Here is a 24,002-nt window from a genome sequence, read left to right on the forward strand (position 1 = left end):
TATGAAAAAATTTTCTTTTTCTGTCTTCCTGCATTTCTGTTCAATGAGCTGGCTTTTCCTTTTGGTTCAAATCTGACAGGACCCAAGTCTACCTTGTTGAGTTTGATGCACCAGGTGCATGGAGGTAGTTTGGTCTCTTGCAGGGAAGAGTGGATACTGAGCTGCAAAGGTCGTGTACTTGTCTGCTGGGAGCCCACAGCTGTTGAGCACACTCGCCTGTGGTTGACAGGACTCTGGCACAAGTGCCGTGGAGGATGATGTTAGAGAGGTGGACACATGGGGTCAGAAGAGGAAGGAGAAAAGGTTAGCTAGCAGGCCACAGATTGTGTGAGTTACTATTGTGAGGAGGACTTTGAGGGGCCTGGAATCTGTGCCCTGAGTGCCAGACAACATTGGTTCAAATGGCTAAATGTCAGCATGGTTCTCAACCAAGAATTGGAAGCCTTCCAGGGCCTCTTAAGGCAGACTTTGTAGCTTTTCTTTTCTGAAGAGCTTCTCCTTCCCTGGCTTCTCAAGCATTGTAACTCATGCTGTTAGGTCTTCCGTTCTGTCCTTCTGGGCCCTGGGGTACAGCTTTTATGGTATATGTTCAGAGCTACAGGGATGTCTCCTGTTCATCTTGGGGTTCTTTCTGCATCCCCCTCTGCCAGCTGGGTGAACAGTGGGGAGCTGGAAGCAAGGGGAGGGGCCAGAGGGAAGGCGGTGAAAGGTGTGCTCAGAGGTATCTGAGCTTTGGGTTTTTACAGAAGTTGATAGCATTGGGCTTAGTGACCACAATTCAATTATAAGCACCACACAACCATCCTGAGTGACTATATACTTGCCAAATACTGCTGTGTAAAGGCAGCTACATTTTTGTCAGCCTGGCCTGATGGATTTTTAAGTATATTCACCGCATACATTCACGCAAAGGGGAAAATTTACTGCCTAAACAGAGGGACCTAAATCCCCCAGGCTAAATAAACCCAATGAAAACACAAGAACTGCATTGACAGGCTTCCCGAAGATAAGAATTCAACCTTTAAAAAGGTTTCTTCAAATGAAAAATGGATGGCTGAGCTGCTAATGGCCCAGTAACCTAAAAATTTAACTCTTCCCTAATGCTCAGGGACCTCAGGTAAGGTTCACTTTCTTGGAATGGAGGATTTTCATCACTGATCTCTGCACAGTTCTGGGCCTGGAAGGTCCAGGAAGTGGCCTTGGAAAGTTAATGACCACCATAGAGAATCCATAGAGAATAGATTGTCTTGGCAATTTTTGTGTTGCTTCTTTTTGTTTTGTTTTGTTTTTTGTTCTTTGGTTTGCGTGTGTGTGCGTGTGTGTGTGTGTGTGTGTGAGAGAGAGAGGGAGTCGTTTATGTATGGCTGTCTGTGGGAGGAGAGGCATGGGCCAAGGTAGGGGGGTGTGTGTGTGAGTCCCCAGCTTTTCCCTATTGGAATTTGGTTGAGGTGAGACATTTAAGAGAACTGTCTTTCCCTTATACTTAGAGAGGAAATATGTCTTCCTCTTAAACTTACAGGAAGAGTTAGGAAGTTAAGAATTTACCTGTGCAATTTCTCCTGCATGTTTCTCTGTGGAAACAGGTCATACATTGGGACAAAAGTGAGGCAACAGGTCTCCCCTGATATGTCCTCAATCTTCTGGTAGTATTGAAGGTCCCAGAGCTCATCACCAGTAAATCGCACCCCTGTATTAAGGATAAGTTACAAAGATGTTCATGAATCAACCTGCAGAGGAATCTGTGCCTCTCTTGTAAGTCACCTAAATATTATTTAAAGATACATATGCCAGGTAGAGGCCGGGCACAGTGGCTCACACCTGTAATCCCAGCACTTTGGGAGGCCAAGGCAGGAGGATCACTTGAGGCCAGGAGTTTGAGACCAGCCTGGCCAACATGGTGAAACCCCATCTCTACTAAAAAAAAAAAAAAAAAAAAAAAAAAATTAGCTGGGTGTGGTGGTGTGCCCCTGTAATTCCTGTAATTCCAGCTGCTCAGGAAGCTGAGGTATGAGAATCGCTTGAACACAGGAGGCCAGAGGTTGCAGTAAGCTGAGATTGCGCCACTGCACTCTAGCCTGTGCGACAGAGACTCTGTCTCCTAAATAAATAAATAAATAAATAAATAAATAAATAAATAAATAAAATATATATGTGCGAGGTAGGGAGTGGGGTGAAGAAGGGGTTAACTACAAATGGGGAAAGGGAATGAGGTGATGAAACTGTTCTATATCATGGTTGCAGTGGTTGTTACATGGCTGTATGCATTTGCCAAATCTCATAGAACTGTATGTTGCAAGGGTGAATTTTACTATATGTAAATTATAACTTGACAAACTTGACCTCCCTAAAGCAACAAAGAAAAGAAAAGAAGGAAAAGTAAGTAATACTTTCTCATGTCCCCTTGCTACTTTGCCAGCCAGCAAGCCATCTGGATGATGCGAAGGAAGGACACCACGTAGTCAGCTCCAACCTATGAGCTCATGATGCCAGGAAAGCTGTTCTAGAAAAAGCAGAGATGGTGTGTGTTTCCTTCTGGGGGAGATGACTTAGCTCTCCAGGTAGCAATGACCTTGTATGGTTAACACAGGTAGGGAAATACCTAGCTTCATGCTGACTCACCAGGTAAAAAATCATTTCTCTGAATGAGTCAGAATCACAAATATGTTCTGAATAGTCTCCTATGTCCTGCATGGGGAAGGGCCTGAAGCACCAATCAGAATGTCTGTTTGCAGGTCTCAGTGGTCCTATATGGGCAACACCTACAAGCCGTGGGTCTCTCATTTCCCAGAATGATAGTGGTAAATTCAAGCCCTCTAGCTCACTTAATCACATACTCAATTAGGTACAGGAGACACTTTAAAAAAATGTATGCTGTGCTGATGATGTTGTTTATTCAGTTATAGGTAAATCCAATAATGGTGAAATAAAATCCTTCAATATTAAGTGTATTCCTGGCCATTTAGAGAAGGGGTGTGTGTGTGTGTGTGTGTGTGTGTGTGTGTGTGTGTGTGTGTGTAAGGATACAGTTAAAGCAGACTTGGGTAATGTAAAATACCACAGAAAGTAGGGGTTTCCAAGGAAAACATGGGGGAAACTCTGTATGAGAATCTAATGTATGCTATAGCTTTTAAAAGGAAACATTAATAGTGAAACATGCCCTCAAAGGGCAAGCCAGTAATAAATTTCGTGTCAGAAATTACCTGTCAGTAGGATTATGTTAAATAATGTTGAATTGTTATTAGTCGAAGGGGAAAGAGAAGAGTGACTTTCTAAAAAATGTTCAAAGAGTATAATGTTTCACATACAAATCCCATTATTGTTTAATGGCATTTTTGTACTTATCCCTTCTCAAAGATGTATTGAAAATTTTGGCCACTTTAATTCATCCCTCAAATGTAGTCGTTATGGGAAAAGAAGCCAAACTTCATGCAGGAATTTGGAGTTACCCAGGGGACTAGTGTATCTGATTGGACGTCCACTGTAGTATGTCCTAATCGATAAACGTGTGTGTGCCTGCTTACTGGGACTACAGAGGAAAGCAGTTTCACCTCTATACCTCAGCAAACCATTCGTGAAGTAGCAGGGGCCCCTCTATTTCAACATTTTGAGCACTTTTGCTTGTTTTGGCCAAACAACTAAAAATATATTTTTCCCCTTGAAAAGTATTCGCATTGCAAATGTGTGACCGTCTAAGAATTTTTAAGGTTCATTGCAATATATTGGGTCTGAAACTGATGGCACTTGCTGAGGCAGGGCCCAGATCCTGCCCCAGGTGCAGTGAAGGCAGAAGCCTGAGTGGGAACAGACTGTGAAACAACTGAGGCTTAAATTGTGACCTAACACATTGCCACCCGGCTTGAGCCTATCCTCTTTACGACTTATGACTCATAGGTGTCAAATCATCAAGTGATTACACCCAGAATGAAAGAGTATTTCGACTTCATGTGAATTGAATGAAGAATGATTGCGACCTTAGATTTGGGTTTCTGAAGGACAAAGTTAGAGATAAGCTCTGGGACTACTCCTTCTGCTTTGATTTCATTCACCGATTACTGGTCATTAACTGCCCTGTGTCTCGTTTGAAAATTGCTGTATTTGATATTTCATGATATTTGGACCAGATCTCGCCAACAAACTCAGTAGGCATTTGTGGAAATCTTGATTTCTTTGGGTCATCAAATCTCAATTTTAGTAAATGGCCTCCGCGGTAATTCACAAATGGGTTCAGGGTGGCTTAGAGTCAGAGTTCAAAGTGCAAGAAAGTGGATCCTTTCAGGGGCAACCTGCAGTCCAGAGAGGCTTCTTCCAGTTGGAACATTTAGATCAGCTTCAGGAATGTTATGTCTTAGATGTTATTTGAATGACATTTCAGTCTTTACTTATTTATTAATTTTTGGTTTTTTGACATAGGGTCTCACTCTGTCACCCAGGCTGGAGTGCAGTGATGCAACCACAGCTCACTGCGGTCTTTGAACTACCAGCCTCAAGAGATCCTCTCACCTCAGCCTCCTGAGTTGCTGGGACTACAGGCACACAACCCCACACCCAGCTAATTTTTTGTATGTTTATAAAGTGGGGTTTCACCATGTTGCTCAGGCCAGTCTCAAACACTTGGGCCCAAGCGATCTGTCCTTCTCGGCCCCCTGAAGTGTTGGGATTACAGGTGTGAGCCACTGTACCCAGGCAGAATATTTTAAAGCTTGTTCAGATGGCAGTCATTTGTGCTATATCCATTTGGGATTTGATCTTTTGGTTATGGGATGATCTTTTAATGACATTGCAAAATGTATGTTTCAGAATGTCCTATAAATAGTTTAAAGATACAGAGCCAAAGCTGCCATTGTCACTTATAACATGGATGAGACCAAGACTAAGTGAGACTATGCTCTTTCCAAGGAGACATCACCTTCCCCACCAATAGGTTCCATGTTCTGATCTAGTCTGGCTTCAGTCAGACTGGAAACTTTTTGAGACACTGCTTATGCCTCACCCCTAATGAGAGCCCCTTGCACTTCCAAAAACCTCTTACTTTCGTGTGAAATTCTTTCCTAGCTTCCAGCTTTTTGATTTAATTTAATTTTTAAGAATTTAGAAAAACAGCCTTTTGTTATAATTGTGGACAAAGTTTCTTAATTTTTTTCTTATGGAAAATTTAAAACATGTTATGCAAGCAGAAAGGTTAGGCTAATGTCCCCATCCCATGAACTCCATCACCCAACCTGAACAATTATCAGCTTACAATCACGTTTCATCCATGTCTCTACTCACTTTTAGCCTCTCTCAAGGTTATACGAAGCACATCCTAGTTATCACAGCATTTCATTCATATTTTAACATGGCTATATAAAAGATAAGTAGTCTTTAAAGAAAAGTAACCACAATACCATTTCTCCACCTAAAATATTACCCATACTATATTAATGTTCTGAAAACACCCTTCGAATTTCCTTGATGTCTCTTTTTTTGTCCTTTATTATTTTTTGAATTACTTTGCTTTATTTTTCATGTGTAAAAACACCATATGGTGGCCACAGTGGGAAGCCAGGTCCTCTGCACTAAGACTTTGGTGTGAGTCTTTAGGAGTTGGTCAGTGAATTCCTGATAAGAGACTCTGTTAATGTGGTCTCTTTCCAGAGGTGGGTTGGGAGGTAAAATAGCTCAATGTCTTGGAGACCGCATCAGAGGTGGCTGTGGTGAAATTGCCCTAGGTGGCAGTGTAGCCCCTGGCCAACATGTAGCATTCATAGATACTGGCCTTAAGCAGCAGTTTCTTAGGCACAGGGATTGAGATGATGCCATTGTCTCTGGGAGTCAGGAGGAGGTGCGCCAGAGCCACGGAGGCCAGTCACCTTTCAAGGGACCACTTAGGGCTCACCTATCTTGTTCCCCACAGTGTCCTCGAGCAGACAGGTGATGGAGAGCTCAACCAGGATGTTGGCCTTGCCCATGACAGCAGCTACTCAGGCTGACATGGCTATGCAGTCTCTGAGTGTAACAAATGCCTTGAACCTGGTCTGCTGGCTGGCACAGGTCTGCTTTTGCATGAGCTTAATCCACAAAACTTCATCCTTGAGGGACCTCCCTGGGAAAAAGTCAATGATTTTAGACTCCTCAATGGGCAAGGAGAAATCATGACTAACCTCCAGGGCCTTGATCTTCATTCCTTGGGCAGGCAGTCCCGCATGGTGACCCAGAACCACTCCTTGGCCTTGGCCTTGCCTCTGTGGTCTAGGCCAGGTTCGTGACCCTGGCCCTGGACACAGCTGCCAAAGCCTCCACAGAGCTGCCATGACCTCTCATTACAGGGCCCCGGAGTAGCAACTATGTCATTGTCACTGGTATTTTCTCAGAGAATCAAGACTGTAATAAGGTTCATACTTAAAATTGGTTGACATGTCTTCTAAAACTCTTAAATCACAGATCTGAGTTCTCCATCATTTTTCCTGACAATTTATTTGTGCAACAGCCTGTAGAGTTTTGTACAATCTGAGTATTCTGATTGCATTTCCATAGTGTCAGTTTAATAAGTTTCTCTGTTTCTTGTATCTCTTGTAAACTGGTAATTAGGGGCTTTTAGGTTTGATTTAGAGTCAAGTTCAAATTTTTGGCAGGAATACTTCCCATGTGGTATGGCACATTTCTATTAGGAGGCACCAATGGTTGGCTTGTTTTTCTCTTTGGGCCATTGGCAGTCACTGACACGGTCTATATCCATTATTTCTTTAGGGATTATGAAATGGTGAAGTCTGATTCTGTCATTCATTCTTTGTTTATTAGCTGGAGTACTTCTATGAAGAGAACCTTCTCCTCATCAACTCTTTGGTTACCCTGAATTCCAGTTCAATACTTCTTCAAGCGTGTGACCCATTTATTCTGGTTTCAGAGAGATGCCTTTTTTTTTTAACCTAATGGGTACCCAGAAACAACTATAGGAAATAAAACCTCACCCATAAAGGGAGGTATTGAGCAGCAGAAAAACTCCAGAACAGGGGTCTCCAGGGTCTTGACTCAACCTCTGGCACCTGTATGATGTTGGACAAGCTGTATAATTTCTCAGAGTTAGTGGACTCCAGGCTTCTATCTGCACTCCAACCAGAGAGGCAGTTTTTTCTATTTGTTTTAAACAAATAAAGCTACAGCCTTAAAAAATTGTGTACAGTTTATTACTAAGGTATCTTTCAGCTTAAACAGTTTATGATTTTCATTTATGATTTAAAAAAACAAGTCCATGTTAGGAAACTTAGCAATCTGATGACCAACAGATACCAAGTGTTATTTCTAAAAATGCATTATTTCATTTATTAATTCAATAGTTCATTTATTTCTCCATTCTTTAAACAAGTGTTTGTACTATCTAAGTCCCTATAAAGCATAAAGCTTAGGCGTAGACATTGTAGGCACTAACATTTTGGGGATCACTTGGAGGTACCATTCTTGAAGCCTCAGCCTGAAATTCACAGAGTTGAGGAAAGGATCCTGGAATTCTTGGAAGTCTTTCTAAAAATCATCCACAAGAAGGATTCCAGGTACATGAGAGCTAAACTTGGAATTTTCCCCATGGAAAGTCTGTTTGCTATGCAGAGCCAGCTTAGGGAGTATTTAACAACATCCCTGGGAGGGAAGAGCAATTTAGAACATCTGGAGACTGCTCATTAATTGTTTATATGATAATGTTGATCTGAAATTGTAGAAACGAAAACCTGATCTGTGATCCCTCCTTCTCAACCCATTTCCCATTTCTTTTTTACCCGTGCAACTGATGAATGCACACAGGTCAGAAGTATGAGGACTGGTTTGAGGACAGTTTCAGGTTCCAAATAGGAATTATGGATCCTACTTTCTCTTTAGTGCATCTTATATTCCACTGTGGGTGTGTTCATTATTAACAGTGGCTAAGACTGAGGGGCTGAACAGGGAAAGGAGAGCAGAAAACAGAATTCCAGAATCCACCATTTGAATCACACTGGTTTGTGATGGAGGAAGCACATAAATAACATCTACAGTTCTCACCTCTGAAACTAAGAGCAATGGGGGCTTCCCTTCTTCACAGTTTCACCCAGTTCTTATTCACAGAAGGTGCTGTTCTCCTAGCACTTAATAATTCAATAATGAGAGTTGGAAGCTGTCCCAGCAGGAGATGTTATGAAACAACCTTAAAGAATAATAGAGGGGGAAAAAGAGCAGCGCTCTATTTTTAAAAAATCAGAGCCTTTCTTGGAGGCCATGAAATTCTAGGTTCAAGTTAATTATCACCAACAAATATTTATTCACATGATGAATATTTATTGAATGACTCCTTTGAGCAGCAGTATAGGTGTCATAGTGGTGTCATATTGGCACAGAGATGACAGGAAGCCATTCCTTATAAGCTAGTAGGGCAGAGACATTTGACATAACTGATTATGAAATGAGGCAAACTTTGAAAGCGCTGCATTAAAGGTACACAGAGAAAAGCTTTATGAGAACGTGATAGGAAGACATCGCTTCTAGGTGGAGGGTTGCAGGGAAGCTTAATGAAGGAGATGGCATTGATGCTGAATGTGAAAAATTGGATAGAACTTCAGCTAGGGGAGCTGGAGGGGACTATCAGTCCTGAGGGTACACTGAGCCAGGAAAGGTTGTTGGAAACAACTGTCCTGCTTGGCTTCCATTTCTTTCTTAAAGACCATTAGAACTTGGTGTCCCTGTGTGTGCCACTGGGTGAGACCATGATACAACCTGGGACAGAGCTAGAGAAGAAGGAGGAGATGCTTTAAAAATTTCCCTCATTTGCACCAACTGCACTCCTCCTGATCCTTTCAGAAATGACATGTTATTCAAACTCTGGAAAAATCAGTTTCATCTATTTTTTTTTAATCCTGAGTCAACACATCTGCTTCCTTATCAGATGCTGCTCTGATTTCAGGCCTGGTATTGCCATAGGCTCCCCTGAGTAGCCACCCACACAGTAAACAGTTGTCCCACTTTTCAGGGCTCCAGGCTGCCTGTTGGCTCTGTCTAGGTAATCCTGCGGGACCAGTAGGGCTCTCTGATTCCAGATCTATACACAGATACAGTCACACGCAGCTGGGACTTGCCTCCCGTCTCAGCAGGCATGATCTCTGTGATCCTCCCCTGGGAGGTGGAGGCCTACTAGGCCTTGGGTGAACACCCACCCCTGGCTAGACAACACCCCCAACCCCTTGATTCCTGGATAACAAGCTACCAATGGAGTCAGGCTAGCAATCTGAATATAAATGACTTACTTTCTCGATTTAATGAGAAAGAATAAATTACTTGCAATAGGAGGTTAGGTATGGTTCTGACATTGCAATATTCTCTTCAAGTTAACAGCAGGCATTTGTTACATGCTCAGAGAATTTTATGATTTATAAAGAACTTTCCAAAACAGAATATAATTTGATTCTTGTTAGAGGCTCTATCATTCTCACTTTATAGATAAAGAAATTGAGGAATTCGTTGGTTAAGAAAATAAAAATAGCCACTCTCATTGGGCACATGGCCAAGTCCTGTTCTAAACACTTTAGATTTAACTCATTTAAGCCTTTAAATCATCTTATGAGGCAGATATCATCATTATTGTCCCCATTTTGCTGCTGAAGAAAGCAGGCATGGAGAAGTTATGAACTTGCTCAAAGGCCTGCAGCTAGTAAACAGTAGAGGTGGGGTTTGAACTCAGCCATCGTGGCTCCAAGGTTACACTAGATGGCCTATAGCTTGGATCTGGAAGAGAAGATCTTTCCAAATCTGCCATTCATCCAACAAAGCAGACACCTGGATCTCACAGGGAATGTTCCTCACTGGCAAATGTTTCTGCTGGACAAATGTCTTCTCTTTTATTGGCCTGTTATAACTAGAGTGGACTTTGAGAGCGCTAAAAAGAGAACATTGTTTGCTGCCTGTTTATTTTTCCGTCATTCTACACTGAGACAGGCACCATCCTCTTCAGTGAGAAAACCACACAAATAAACCCCCTTCTTGAGCTAGGCATGGTGGCTCATGCCTGTATTCCCAGCTACTTCAGAGACTGGAGGATCACTTGAGGCCAGGAGTTTGAGACCAGCTTGGGCAACATAGCAAGACCCTCATCTCTAAAATAAATGTGTCATGTACATAAAACTATCATTCATGAAATAAAATAAGCCCACCTCTGTTACTCCAGGATGACGATGAAGGAAACCCTGAGAATCAAGAGGGCATTTCCAAGTCTTGTGGGGAGCAGAGGCTCATAGGAAATAGCACTGAACACAGAGCCAGACAACCTGGATGTTGGTCATGTGCCAAAGGTGAGATCTTAGGTTAGTTGTATTTTCTGAGCCTCGGGTGTATTAAGGAAGAGGCAGAGCCTCTTCTGCCCATTTTCTGTTATAAAAAATATGTGAAAATTATTTGAAATACTATACATTACATGCCATACTTTTAAAAATGAAATTTGATGGGTTTCTAAGCCTCTGCAGAATTTGGGCATCATTTTAATAAAATAGACTTGATGAAGTGAAGCTTCTCAAAATAATAATTTTTAAAACGGTACAATTTTAACTGGGGATATATTTAATCTGTATAGATAAGGGAAACAATTTTTGCAGTCGTCTCATAGATTCTTCTAGAAAAACTCAGAACAAACCAAACTTTTTAGAATTTATTTCACTTTGTTCTTGTTTTATTATTATTATTTTTAAAGAGGCAGGGTCTCACTATGTTACCCAGGCTGGTCCTTTAATTTCTTCCATATGGAAGTCCTTTTATTTCTTCTATAACTAAATCCATTTGGAAGAGGGGGGTGCCACTCATACCTAGTGTCTCAGTGAACAGTGCTAAAAGGGAATTCTGTGATTAAAGAATCATAGAGCTTCTTTTCCCTGTGAAAGCACACCCTCTAAGGCTGTGTCTCAGCATCTCCAGATCTTCACGCTCTGGTGCCTAATAAAAGATCATCGTTATCTCTGGAGGGAATTCTCTCAGGTAGTGAAGGTAGGCAGAAGGTAAGTTTCTAGATACAAATTATATTTGGCCTCGTGGAGATACTAGGAACTGTATATCCAGGAAATGCCTATTCCCTCCTCTTTTCCATAACTGGCCTCAGGCTCGCCCCATTTTAACCCTCTCATTGACATCCAGAGCCGCTACGGTCAAAGAGGAGGCGGCCACGAATTGACCTGAATTCAGTAATAAGCCTATCTAGTCAACCACTTCAGAGTCAGGAGTTGTCTATACAGATAGCCAAGTCTTCCTAGAAATACTGTTACCAAAGAGAGAATCAAATGGAAAAAAGACACAGTCTGTGATCCAGTCGGTATTAAAGAATAAAGGAATACTTGCTGGAATTAACATTTCGCAAACCCAATAAGAAGTCCCTAAAATTAATTTTACCTAAATCCCAGCCCCAAATTTGGAATTGAATGCTAATCCAAAAAGTTATGTTAAATCTCTACTTCCAAAATAATTTTAGAATGATGTGGCCATTTCCACAGGCCTAATATGGCAGCATCTCCCAAGGGCCATCAGAACCAAGTGGCCTTGGAATTGTGCAGTGAGACGAGGACAGCCCCTTGAGACATCCAGATTAGAATCAGTCATAAGGTCCAATCTAGTCTTGGCTGGCCTTGGGGATTCGGGGTTGGGGGGTGGGGGTCACAGGGCATCCACATCTCTGGTAGCATAATTCTTGCCAGGTCAGGTGGTGTGTAAAAAATTATAGGCATGCAGGGTCACTGGAAAATGTTGAGAGCCAGAAAGTTTGGGTTATGATAGTTATGAACAAGGGAAAGTATTTACAATACCCCTTTTGCCCCAAAATAGATTTTAAACACTATACAAGCACAATGGAATGTGTTCATTCATTTCTAACCGGATTGTCTTCTACTCTCATGTTTAGGTCATAGCTATTTCTAGGCTTTCATGTGACAAGACCTTCACAGACTAAATTCAGTGGTGTCACCTTCTGAACAAAGTGGCCACATGCGCTGTGGTTTTCCCTTGTTTATTTTGTCTTGTTTTGTTTTACACAGCCAGTATCACTAGCCTCCTGATCAAGGTTAGTAGATAGAATTCAACCCCGTTCATTTAAAAGAGTGATAAATTTATGCCAGCCCATGATCTCACTCCCCTGAGTAGCAGAATGTGTCTGTGGTGCGCTGTGAAGTCAACCTTCCGGACACAAGTGTTCTGTGTGACCCTGAAACTACACCTGAAAGACAGGATGATGTCGTCATACCAAGCAAGCATTCTGACTGCAACTTAAAGTATTAAGGACAACATATATCCAGAGGTGAAAAGAAAATGAAAATGGCTGATTTATTGTTTTAATTGAGGAAGAGCCTGTAATCCAAATAAACTATGTTGATGGAAAAGACTCACCCAAACGCCAAGGTGAAATTTCCTAATACTTCTGCCAATTTGTTAGCGAATAGATGATGAGGAAGTCTCAGGTGGATTCTACTTGTACAAGGCCAAAAAAGATCTTATTACCAGGGTGGAGGTCAATGATTAACACTGTGATATGAAGTCATATTTCTTGTAAAGCAGCTCTTTGCAGTGTGCCAGGTTTGAGATAGTGTGCACACAATGTGACTACTCAACAATTAACGTGTTTTCCTGTGAGCGAAACTTGGTGAGGAGGGTGGCACATTTCTCTTTCCGCAATGTGAATTCTTACACATATACACACATTCTCTCTCTCTCTCTCTCACACACACACACACACACACACACACACACACACTCCCCACACCCTTCAATCATATATCCCCTTAGAGATGTTCATTACATCAGCCATGCAGAAGGAGAAAGAAAACCCTTACCCACCTGTAGCCACCAGACATGCCCTCTATAAGGCAGCTATTTACAAGACTATGAAGACATGCTCTAGAAATGAAGGGACATGCAAAGGCGTAGAAAGAACAAAAAGAAAATTACACCATTCTATAACTGCCAGGGCTGAGAAGAACAGAATATTAGCTGACATTTCTTAAAATTGTGTTCTGTGTACTGAGTACTTTATATGCTTTATCTTGTTTAATCCTTACATCAACCTCTTGAGGTACAGATTATATTTATTACTGTTTTAGAGATGAAGAAACTGAGGCTCAGAGATGTTCAATGACTTATTTATGGGCACACAAGCCATTCTAAATCACCATGGAATGCAAGTTAAAATATTCCCACCAGCTGGGTGTGGTGGCTCATGCCTGTAATCCTAGAACTTTGGGAGGCCGAGGCAAAAGGATCACTTCAGCCCATGGTTTCAAGACCAGCCTGGGTAACATAGTGAGACCCCCATCTCTATTTTTGAAAATAATAATAATTTTAAAAATACTCCCACCTTCTTCTGGTTTTTTTCTTTTTGAGACAGAGTCTTGGAGTGCACTGGTGCAATCTCAGCTCACTGCAACCCCCGTCTCCCGGGTTCAAGGGATTCACCTGCCTCAGCCTCCAGAGTAGCTGGGATTACAGGCACCCACCACCATGCCCGGCTAATTTTTGTAGTTTTAGTAGAGACAGGGTTTCACCATGTTGACCAGGCTGGTCTTGAACTCCTGACCTCAGGTGATCCAGCTGCCTCAGCCTCCCAAAGTGCTGGAATTACAGGCATGAGCCACTGCACCTGTCCCCATCTACTTCTTTATAGGAGGATGCATGGAATGGCAACTTATCACTGCGTCCAGCCCATAGGAATACAGGCATACCTAGAATACGTTCTGAGCATGCACACATAGATGTACCATGTACAGTCAAGCTAATCTTCCTGTTACCAAAAGTTTTGTCCTTGTGATTGCCTCTAGGCATATTCTAATATTTTTAGCCAGAGTCATCATAAAAAAGAGTCTTTATATGTCAAAATAGCTTTATAGATCAAACTGCATGATCTGAAATGCCGCTTCTCTGTTTGCGAGGGTTAAATGGTTGTCTCAGGCCAGAGTTTAGTTCATATTCTATAAATGGCTCTTACTCCTTGATCTGACTCACTGTATGTATTACAGCAAAGTCACTTACAGATCAAGATTTATTTTTAGAATCTTAAAGAAACAGATTCTACAGGGAGTGTTTGTGTCTGACCACAGACTAATTTGAGTGAAAACATATCTCAGTGAGGAACTTTCTTTCCATTTGATTCCCCTGCCCGTGGCTTAATGATAAGTCTCTTCATGTCATGTTAAATGGTTTTGAATTATTTAACAGCAGAATGACAGAATTTTATGCCAACATCATACATAGCAGAGGAGTTTTGTGGTATGCAAGTAAGAGAATCTTTTTGATTTTGAATAAAATAATGCATCAGAAAACTATGCAGAATATTAACGTTCATAAAGATGGGGGGAGATTGTATAGTCTACTTTGCCACTTTGTAACAGAGATTTTCTCTAAGATCAAAACCCAGGGATATGATAAGAACAATGATGATGGTGATGATGATGGTGGTGATGACAACTTCCTCCATTATCACCTTTAGCAGAGATTCTGGATTCATCCCTTAAATAAATATGACATGCTGCCCTCTACAGGTATTCAACCTAAACCAGATAGTCTGAAGCCGTTACAAATAGATAAAGCACTCTGAAATACACAGACCAATAAGTAAGTGCAAATGAAATATTGAGGCCAATTAAATAAGGAAATCCTTTAGACTCTGCACGTCTAATTTGCGTGAATTCTAAAGCCAAAGAAGAATCAAGCGTTTACTATTTCATTTTAATGTTCTCTTCCAAGTTTTTGAGTGCGTATACTTGAGCCTATCTATGTCAGAAGCAGGGAAGAACAGTTGGGAATTTGTGAACTCATTTTCTGTTTACTCTTGAAAAAGTTAATTGCCCTTTGGTTTGGCTAAGACCTATTTGATAACAGATGCTTAATGAATGATTAATAAGTAATAATGCGTGTGGAAATCCCAAGTTTGTTTGCAATTTAAAAAAGTTGAATTTCATACCATAGGTAGCCAACATTTTTAAAGATTAACAGGCTGTGTACAAAAAGAGGGTCTATCTGGCTCCTTCTTTAAGCCTCCACTTCTGCCTCACCCCAGTAAATCCTCTTGTTACTTTGGTGTCTAAGTTGAACATTTTTCTCAAATTGTACTTCGTTTTTCCTTGTTCCGCCAACAGACGTGAAAAAAAAAAAAAAAAACAATCTTGAAGAACTGATTTCTTATGCCTGCCTCCTACCCTGAGTTTACTCGCTGAACTTCTGTTAATTGTAACTCTTCCCTATAAAAGGAAAGGCTGGCCCAGATGGTCTGACAGCTCCTAGTGCTCACTTTGTGATATGGGTCAGTGAGTGCTTGGAGCATCAGCTTCAGAGCCAGGCAATCCTAGGTTCATGCCCAGTTTCCTACACTGACGTGCCTGGATGACTCTGGGCCAGTTATATAATATCTCTGAGCCTCAGTTTCCCATCAGCAAAATTGGTACAGTAGTATCCACCATGTTGGATTTTTTTTTTTTTTTTTTGGTGAGGATTTAAAAATACAGAGTAAGATAAAAGATTTCATAAGCAGCATTTCATGTAATTCCCATGGCTACATTATAAGGCAGAAACTATTATTAACCCCGTTCTACAGATGAGGAAATGAGGCTTAGGGAAGTTAAGCAACTGAATTCAAGTTACAGGGCTAGTACCTGTGGAGTTGGATTCAAGCCAGGCCCAGGCCCTGCTTTTGACCTCTGTGCCACTCCATCAGACAGCTTTATCCTCTACCCACACATGCTGATAGGACGAACAAAGGATGTTTCATTCTACCCTTTAAGATGGCTCTTTCCTCCATCATTCTGATTTCTTGCCAGACTTTGGTACCTCCAACTACGGGAAGTGCAAAGGACAAGAGAGTTGTTCTCTCCTATCTGCATTCTCAGTGCACAGGAGACATGGAAGGAACTCCAAAAAAAAGGCATTCTACCCCATGTTCTCAGAGTTGACTTATATAGTCAAAAAGAAGAGGGTCCTTGTTAGTGGCTGGAGTTAAAATCCCAAAGCACAGTCCGCCAAAACCTCATCCAGATGCAAGTGTGTGGTCACTGGTCATGCATTTCTGTTTGCTGAATTCCATACAGCCAAGGCAACTGCGTTGCCTTGCTGAAGATCCACAGGGGAAAAAAGTTATGTGTGCTAGGATGAAAAAACATGCAAGCAGAGTTCTCCCTCATTGTCAGGAATGTTTGATACAGCAATGTTTATTCCATGGCCTCCATCCATGGAAAATGTGCTATCAGACTTTAAGAGGAGTAAATCAACACAGGTCTTCCTTATTGGCCACTCATTTTGTTAAAATGACATAATATCATAGAGGATCATCTATTTCAATAAGAACAATTTTCTGAAATTATAATAGTACATGCATTTTAGTGAAATAACTACTGTAAGAGTCTTTTAAAAAGGTATCTAAGTTGTCATTAGGTACCATATGCTTTTCTTCAACTAATTTCTTACACCCTCTGGGAAAAGTTTACGATAATGATATCCTAACAGATTGTTGCCTTTCTTCATTGGAGTACATTCATTTATGAGGTCATTCTATTTGGGTGTGTCATTTTATATTTAACGTATGTATTATTCACATTAAGGTAGTATAATTCATTGTTTTCTGTATCAAGTAGAGATCACTACATAAGTCATTTATTTCTACCTTAAAAGATTGCTTCTTGTCAAATGCTCCACTGGCTTTACCATTCCTGTGATTTGAGTTGTATGATTGTTAATATAAAATATTTAGAATGATTGAAGTGTGGAAGAGTTCAAATTTGAATTGAAAATTTCCTGGTAGTCTCTTGGAAAATAGCACTAATACTCATTGACTGCTGGCTATATGCCCAGGCTTGTTCCAAGTTTTATGTGTGTTAACCCACCCATCCTCACAACAATCCCATGAGGTGTGTTATTATGACTATCCCCATTTTACAAACAGAAAAACCAAGACCTGAGAGGTTAAGTAACCTGCCCGTAGCTAAGGAGCTACTAAGTGCTGTTTCTGGGATTCAAACCCAGGAAGTCTGGCACCAGGATCTGCTCTCTTAACCCCTCCCCTCTGTTGCCACTTCAAACCCTGGGGTGATGGAACAGAATCGATTTTATTGCTTCTAAAGAGCATTTACTTACTCTTTTAAACGAGTGCAAATAGATCGTCCTCTTTAGCCAGGGAGAGAAGGAAGAGCTATTCAAGAAGGGATCTAAACAAGAAGCAAGAACTTGTTCTTTCTCATGCTCCATGGAAAGGCATGGTGAACAAGGCAAACTATGTCTTACTCCCCCTGGTGTTCAGAAAGGGAGCCTACCGGGGGCCCTTCATCAGATTTGGGGAAAGGGGCCCCAGGACGGCTTCAATTTCTTTTCTGTTCCTAGGCTGGAGAAATAAAAAGCAGCCAGGATGTGATACAGGGGTTTTTTTTCTCATCTGTTTTTGCTCTCAATGCTTGCAATGAGTTAGAAACAAGTCGACATCCACTTGCAGCCCTTGACAGACAAAGTTATTAAAATTTCTAATTTCCTAAAATTTCTCCTGTCCTCCACCCCATCCATTCTGCTACGCCCCTGGCCTTCTGCCAGGGTGTCTGGTTTTCCATAATTAAGATGGTGGTTCATATAATCTTTTTTTTCCCTGTCTTCTACCGTGGCTGCTGGGCATCTGTTCCAAAATGTCTATCACAGTTGCCTTGGTATTGTCAGCTTGGAGTTTCTGATAGCCCAGCATTTGATAGAGAAAAATTTAAGATCACCTCGAATTTTCAAGGCAACTTGGGACCTTGATTCCTTTCATTAGATACAATAATACTTGAACCGTTCGTTTGAAAGAGTGGCTCAGCCCTGGCTACCTGTTGCTCTCACTTGGGAGCTTTAAAACAAATACCAGTACTTGGGCCCATCCCCAGAAGGTTTGAATCATTTCTTCTGGGGTGGAGCCCAGGCATCAGTATTTTTTTTACATGAGGTCACGGTTGCAAAACACTGGGCTGAATTAATCTTCTGGCTTAAATTTGAATACCAAGACCCTGAAAGGCCTTGGCTCAGAAATAAGTAAAATTCATTTAAATGACCAGTTGTAGCTCCCATGACCTGCCTCTTGAAATGCAAAAAAGGGTTTTCGCCATGCAGTTATAGTCATTCACAGATTGGTGGGATAGCATGAAGTTCTTCACTTCACACTTTCTAAGGGCCCCCTCTACCCCGCACCCCTGGACCTCCTCTGGCCATATCCTCTTCTTTTCAGCTTATCTTCAGCCTTAGACAAACCTCAGGGCATTCATTAGAAATTATTTTCATGACAGTGGCTGTTGTACTGAGTGTTCAGTAAATAAAAATCTGTATGTGACTTAGTCCAATAAGCAGAGGCTATTGTTATGGTGTGAGGCTGCTTCTATTTCTTATCTGTGAAATAGAAGCAATGATGCCTGCCTTGCCAAATTGTTCACAGTTTATATAATTTATATGAAATATCCTGATCTACCCACTATCACGCAGCAGTAATGCCTCTCTTTTCCAGTTATTTGGAAACTTCCCAGTTCAGTGAAGGGATTTCTCTTATTCTCTTATTCTAACAGGCAGCCAGTTCCTCTTCTTACTACGGTATTGCCCAACAGGATCAGCTCAGCTTTTCAGGGATGTCAGAGAGGAATGGCTCTCATATCTCTCGTCAGTCTTTAGGGTCTCGAGACCCTAAAGACTGACAGCAATCCAGGACTTTTGTGGTCTACATTTGTAGCACAAATGATAAGACTGAGCAGGTTTCCTGAACTTACCTCTGTTTGTTTACTGAAACCTCTTACCACTGGGGCAGCTACAGCAACTGACCACGCCTGCTTATTGTCTGTCTCCTGTCTGGTCACCTCTTCTAGTTCTGATTTGCCCCAGAAGGCTTAGCATCTGTCAGTCTACTTTGCCCTCAAAACCTTCCAGAAGATGTTTCAGCACCCAAGGAAAATAAACAGGCTTCTCTGGAGCCCAGGGGACAAGACATAGGAAATCTGCATTTCAGTGGGTAAGAGAAGGAAGAGACCATGGTAGCCAGTGGCAGAAGAAAGTGTAAATTTCAAGAACATTCTACTGTGTGAGGGTGGGTGGCTGTCATGGAGATGAGGGGACATGCTGGCCAAGGGGTGGGCTCTTAGGGTCCAACAGCAGCATCCAAGGTGCTAGAGACAATATGCTGCATGTTATTGATTTTCATGTAACATTTATCTGGCTTTTCTAGGAAAATCCTTATAGACATTTCCTCTGCTGTGACCAAGTCCCTCTCATTGGCCAGACACTGTGCTAATAGTTGAGAAGAAGAAAGAACAGTCTTGGTTCATGAACTACAGTCTAGCTGGGGGGAGAAAAGATTATTAGATAGGCATTGAACATTGATAGATTTAACTACATTAAAAACAAACAAAAACCCTTAAGCCAAACTTCCAATGCCCCTTCTCCCCCACGTCCCCTCTTCCCGCTTAATTTAGGATAGTGATTAAGATCCCAGACTTCTAAACCAAGTTGTCTGTTTAAACGGTGAGTTTACCTCTTGCCACCTGTGTCATCTTGGACCAAATGGTGCCTCGGTTTACTTGCTTAAACATTGATAAAAACACTCACAGGTTGTTGTAGAAATTAAATAAAACAATACGTGCGAAATCCTCAGAGATGAGTTTAGCCCATAGCAAGCACTCAACAAAGGTTAGATTGCTAACATTAATCCACTGGCATATGTTTAAAAAGAGAAGCTGAGGATGGACACAGCAGCAGGTTCTGCAGGGAAGTCCAAGGGGCTAATTTATTACCCAGTCCTCCTTCCACCTCCTCCCTTTCCTTGGAGAGTTGTCCTGGAATCAGACGCCCAGCGTGCGGGTCAGCCAAGCTGTTCAGCTGCTGTTGGTCCCTGAATTCTTCTTTCTGGCCTCTCTAAACAGAGCAGAGAGGATCTGGGGCAGCCAACAGACAACTCTGTATTCACTGTTGAGCAGGCAGGCTGGCAAGCAGGGAGTTTCTTTGCTTTAAAAGATAGCAGGGACAGTCAGGGGTTGAACAGTTGTGTTGCTTTCAGGAAACACGTTGGCCTTCTAGGGTTAGGAAGGGCCCCTTTAAACACAGAGCCACAACATTCTCCTGGGATGACCTTTGCTTCATGGCAGTCATGAGTCTTGTTCTCAAAGCTCTGACCATCCATGATTCATATGTTCCCAATGGCTGTCTCAGCTTTTTATAAGGGATGGCATCTATTAAATTGTAAAAGTTAATTTTTGTTTGTCAGAGACATCATAAACATGTGAAGGCTCTTTCCTGTATTGAGTGTCCACCCTCAAAGAAGCTTCAGTATTGATTATGCTTCTGTAAGTAGAACTGTTGGCCAGTGATTGACAAAGGAGTATAGATTTGAAAGGATAGGCTTCTATGGCACATTCAGAAAACATGGACTCTCAATGTTGGAAGGAACCTTGGAGACCTCCCAATCCAACCTTCCAATCCAATGTACAACTTCCAAACAGCCCTGAGAGGTGGCTACCCACCTTCTGCCCCAGCCATTCTGTGAAACTGTGGACTCACTGCTCATGTGATGGCTACTTGGACAGCCTGAACTGTTCCTGAATCGTTAGAGGGTACTACTTCTATGGAGCCAGTTACATTTTTCTGGTATTTCTACCCATAGGACTTAGTTCTGCTAATTTGACTAAGCCCATCAATCTCTTCTCCCAAATGATACCTGTCTTGTTTCTCTTGAATTTCCTCTTTTCAGACCCAAATCTCAGTTAGGCAAAGTTTTTGTCATTTGTCATGATTCTGTAGTACCACCCAATTTGTGAAAGTAACAAACTGCTCACTTCCAATGCCAGCTGATTAATTACCTACTCCTAATAGCAACTTCAGGAACAATGGGAAATGTACATCTCAGTCTAGTCTGTTTGAAAATCTTATCCTCAAATCTGTGCTTTTTGGAAACCCATGAATACTTGAGACCGAGTGCTGAAAAAAACATATGTTTTTCATTTTCACCTGACATATTGCATCTTAAGGCATCCTGCTGGGTGTGCAGCAGCTGAAAAAGTTCGAAAAAATGTGGCTGCTCAAAACTATAGCAACAGAGGGACACATGATGAAGCAAAACAAGCAATGCGTAAAGCATTTTGGTTTATAGCTGGGGAATTATAATCATTCTGATTAAGTAGATTTCCATATAAAAAGACAATAGTGTGGCTAAGAGTCTCAGAAAAATTCCAAGTATATTTTCAACCATTTTCTACTTTGATCACCACCCTACTTGCTAAGAGAGTGACTTTTTGCATGCAGAAGACATATGTTTATAGAGTCTTTCAATATTTAGTCAACATTAATTTATTGACTACCTCCCTTGTATTCCAGGCAGAGTATGTATGGTACAGAACGCTATGAGGTACGTATGACTCTTGCCCCCGTGTTAGATATGAGGAAACCAGGCAGAAACATTAATAACCTATCCAGAATTACACAGCAAGTAAGTGGTTAGGCTGGAGTCAGAATCCAGAGCTCTGACCCCAGAGCACATGGCTCAACCACTACAGGGTACCACCAGTGGGACTCAGAGACGTACGGAAACTTTTCAATACCGACCCGCTCTGAGTGTATCTTGGTCAGGGCCATTGATTCTTCTTCTCTGTGACAAAGATTTCAGGGATGTTGATTCCTAATCACTGACTGCTTTAATCTGCCTCCCACTGGGATACTGGAATAACTGGGATACTCTGTAGCACCCTTCACAGCTGTTTGTGAGTTGCCTTCTGTGTGGAGTGTAATCAAAACAGCCTTAAAAACCAAGCATCAGAAACCCTGCGTTAAAGCCTCAGCTCTGCCAAATACCAGCTGTGTGGCCTTGAGAAAGGCACTCAATCCTTTGAGATTCAGTTTCTTCATTTGTAAAAATGACCACCTCCCAGGGTTATGGCATGAATTATTTTGTTTAACCAATATTGAGCATCTTGTATGTGTCAAACACTTGGCAAAGATTTGAGTACACACTGCAGATGAAAGAGATGCCAGTGCTGCCTTTTTCGGAGGGGGCGGCAGAGGGGATGAAGTCTCCCTCTGTTCCTCTATCACCCAGGCTGGAGTGCAGTGGCAGCGTGATCTCGGCTCACTGCAACCTCCGCCTCCCAGGTTCAAGCGATTCTCCTGCCTCAGCCTCTCATAATTCTGCCTTGTTGTGGAGCTTGCAGTCAAGTAAGGAAGCTAGACAAAAAGAAATAAGCAAATATATGAATAATCACAAGTTGGGATAAGGGTTGCAAAAGAAATGAAAGATCTTGGCCTTGGGAAATTGAGTGGAGGGAAGCACCATAAGGCGGCGCCAGGGATGGTGTCTCGGAAGAGAATGTGTTTGAAAGATGAGGAGGCACCTGCCAACAGAAGAGTAGAGAGAATGACAGGCTTAGGCATGGCGTCTTCAAAGCCTCTGTGCTGGAGAAAAGGAGTCAATGAAAATTCACCATTTTATGCATATAAGGGCACTTTGTAACTAAAGTAGGCTAAACCCATGTCAGAAATTTCTCTTGCAAATAGAAAATAGCACTGGCCACTTCCAAAGCACAGCTTGGACCGTGTTCTTCCCATAAGAGTCAAGACTAACATTCCAACCCAGTGAAGTTTGTTCCATTTCCACAAGATAACAGCCTTTATCCCCCTACACCAAAATTGTAGGTGCCTGGACTGAATAAACATAAGCACCAGTGTTTCCCCTGATTTCTAGCAGCTACCAAGGAACAGAACTTCCTCCCTCTCTCACTTTTCCATTTCCTCTACCTCCTGTCCTTGCAGATTGGGCAGCAATTTCGAAAAATTTCCTGAAGTTGACTGATGACAGGACATGGATGTCTGAAGTCTGAACTGCCTGGCCAGGACTAGGAAGAGATGTCAGGAAAGGAGAAGTGAGGGTCCTTCTGTGATTCTTCTCTCCCTCTCTCCTGTTGGTGCCTTCTTTTGGGGGTGATGGTCTGCAGGGACAAGCTCCTTCTTTTCTTTTCAAATGTTTTGTTCTTTAAAAGTTTTGTTCACCATCATTAGAAATATCTATGGAATGTAAAGAAAACATGTAATGCTAAGGCAGGAAGGACCTATTGTCCTGGGATCCCGGGAGGACAGAGAACGCTGCTACTTAACTTATGCTTAGTGTTTCTTATAGGAGATGTAGTTAAGGTCTCAGCTCCAGTGTCGCCAAGGGAGGATTTTCTGTCCCTCGGCTCGAAGGTTAGCCAGCCCCTGATCTCAGTCACCCTCCATGACATCACCCTTCATTGTTTTCCTCACAGCATTTATCATTGTCTAAAATGATATTGTGTTTTTAATTTTTTGTTTATCATCTACCTCCTCCACTAAAATAGAAACACCGTAAGTTCAAGGCTGGCATCTATCCTGTTCACCCTGAGTCGCTAGTTTGTATAATAGTGTATTATATCATGGGCACTCGATGGCTGAAAGATGAATGTTTGAATAGATTGAGTGATAACAAGAGCTAAGACTTCCATAGCTCTTATCCTGTTCCAGGTACTTCTTCAAGCACTTTAAACATCAATTTATTTCACCTTTCTGATAAACACATGAGGTAGGCACTAGGATGGTTCTTATTTACAGATTAGTAAACTAAGGCACAGAGAAGCAAAACAATTTGTCTAAGGTCACACAGTAATAAATGCTAGAATGACAATTCAAACAGACTGGTTGGCTATATAATATGTGCTTTTATCCACTCTATGGGATGCGTTTTTGTTCCAAAACAAATACTGGTGATACCAAAACAAGGCTCTTTTACAACAAAATTATTTCCTACAAATGAGAAGCTTGATCAGTTTAAACCAAGGATTCAATCATTCATGTGTGTGTGTGTGTGTGTGTGTCTGTGTGTAATGAAATATAGAAAATCAAACACTGAATATTCTCTCAGCTAGAACTCTTGGGTTATCAAGAGTTACCTCTGCTTCTGCCTATATCTCATTCAGAGAAAAAGCACTCTGGAGAATACCTGAGGAAGTAAAGAAGGTGTTTCTTCTATCTACAAATTCCATTTCTAACCTGTGCAA

The 24,002-nt window shown here is 41.7% G+C and overlaps 1 protein-coding gene and 1 pseudogene across 11 annotated transcripts in view, besides 1 other annotated feature; one reads left to right on the plus strand and one right to left on the minus strand.

Annotated features, from left to right (window-relative positions):
- The window catches only part of CREB5 (cAMP responsive element binding protein 5), a 526,574-nt gene that overhangs the window by 310,253 nt on the left and 192,319 nt on the right, over positions 1-24,002 (plus strand). The gene's annotated exons all lie outside the window — the stretch shown is intronic.
- Positions 1,875-3,074: an enhancer, noted in NCBI's record as "P300/CBP strongly-dependent group 1 enhancer chr7:28651065-28652264 (GRCh37/hg19 assembly coordinates)". NCBI's record gives its function as "activates an origin of replication core promoter dependent on BRD2, BRD4, P300/CBP, MED14 and CDK7 cofactors, with strong dependence on P300/CBP, by STARR-seq in HCT116 cells {active_cell/tissue: HCT116}" and the evidence as "EXISTENCE:reporter gene assay evidence [ECO:0000049][PMID:35650434]".
- RPS2P30 (ribosomal protein S2 pseudogene 30) lies at positions 5,524-6,291 on the minus strand (annotated as a pseudogene).

This window comes from Homo sapiens, chromosome 7, assembly GCF_000001405.40.
Source record: "Homo sapiens chromosome 7, GRCh38.p14 Primary Assembly".
NCBI lineage: Eukaryota > Metazoa > Chordata > Mammalia > Primates > Hominidae > Homo > Homo sapiens.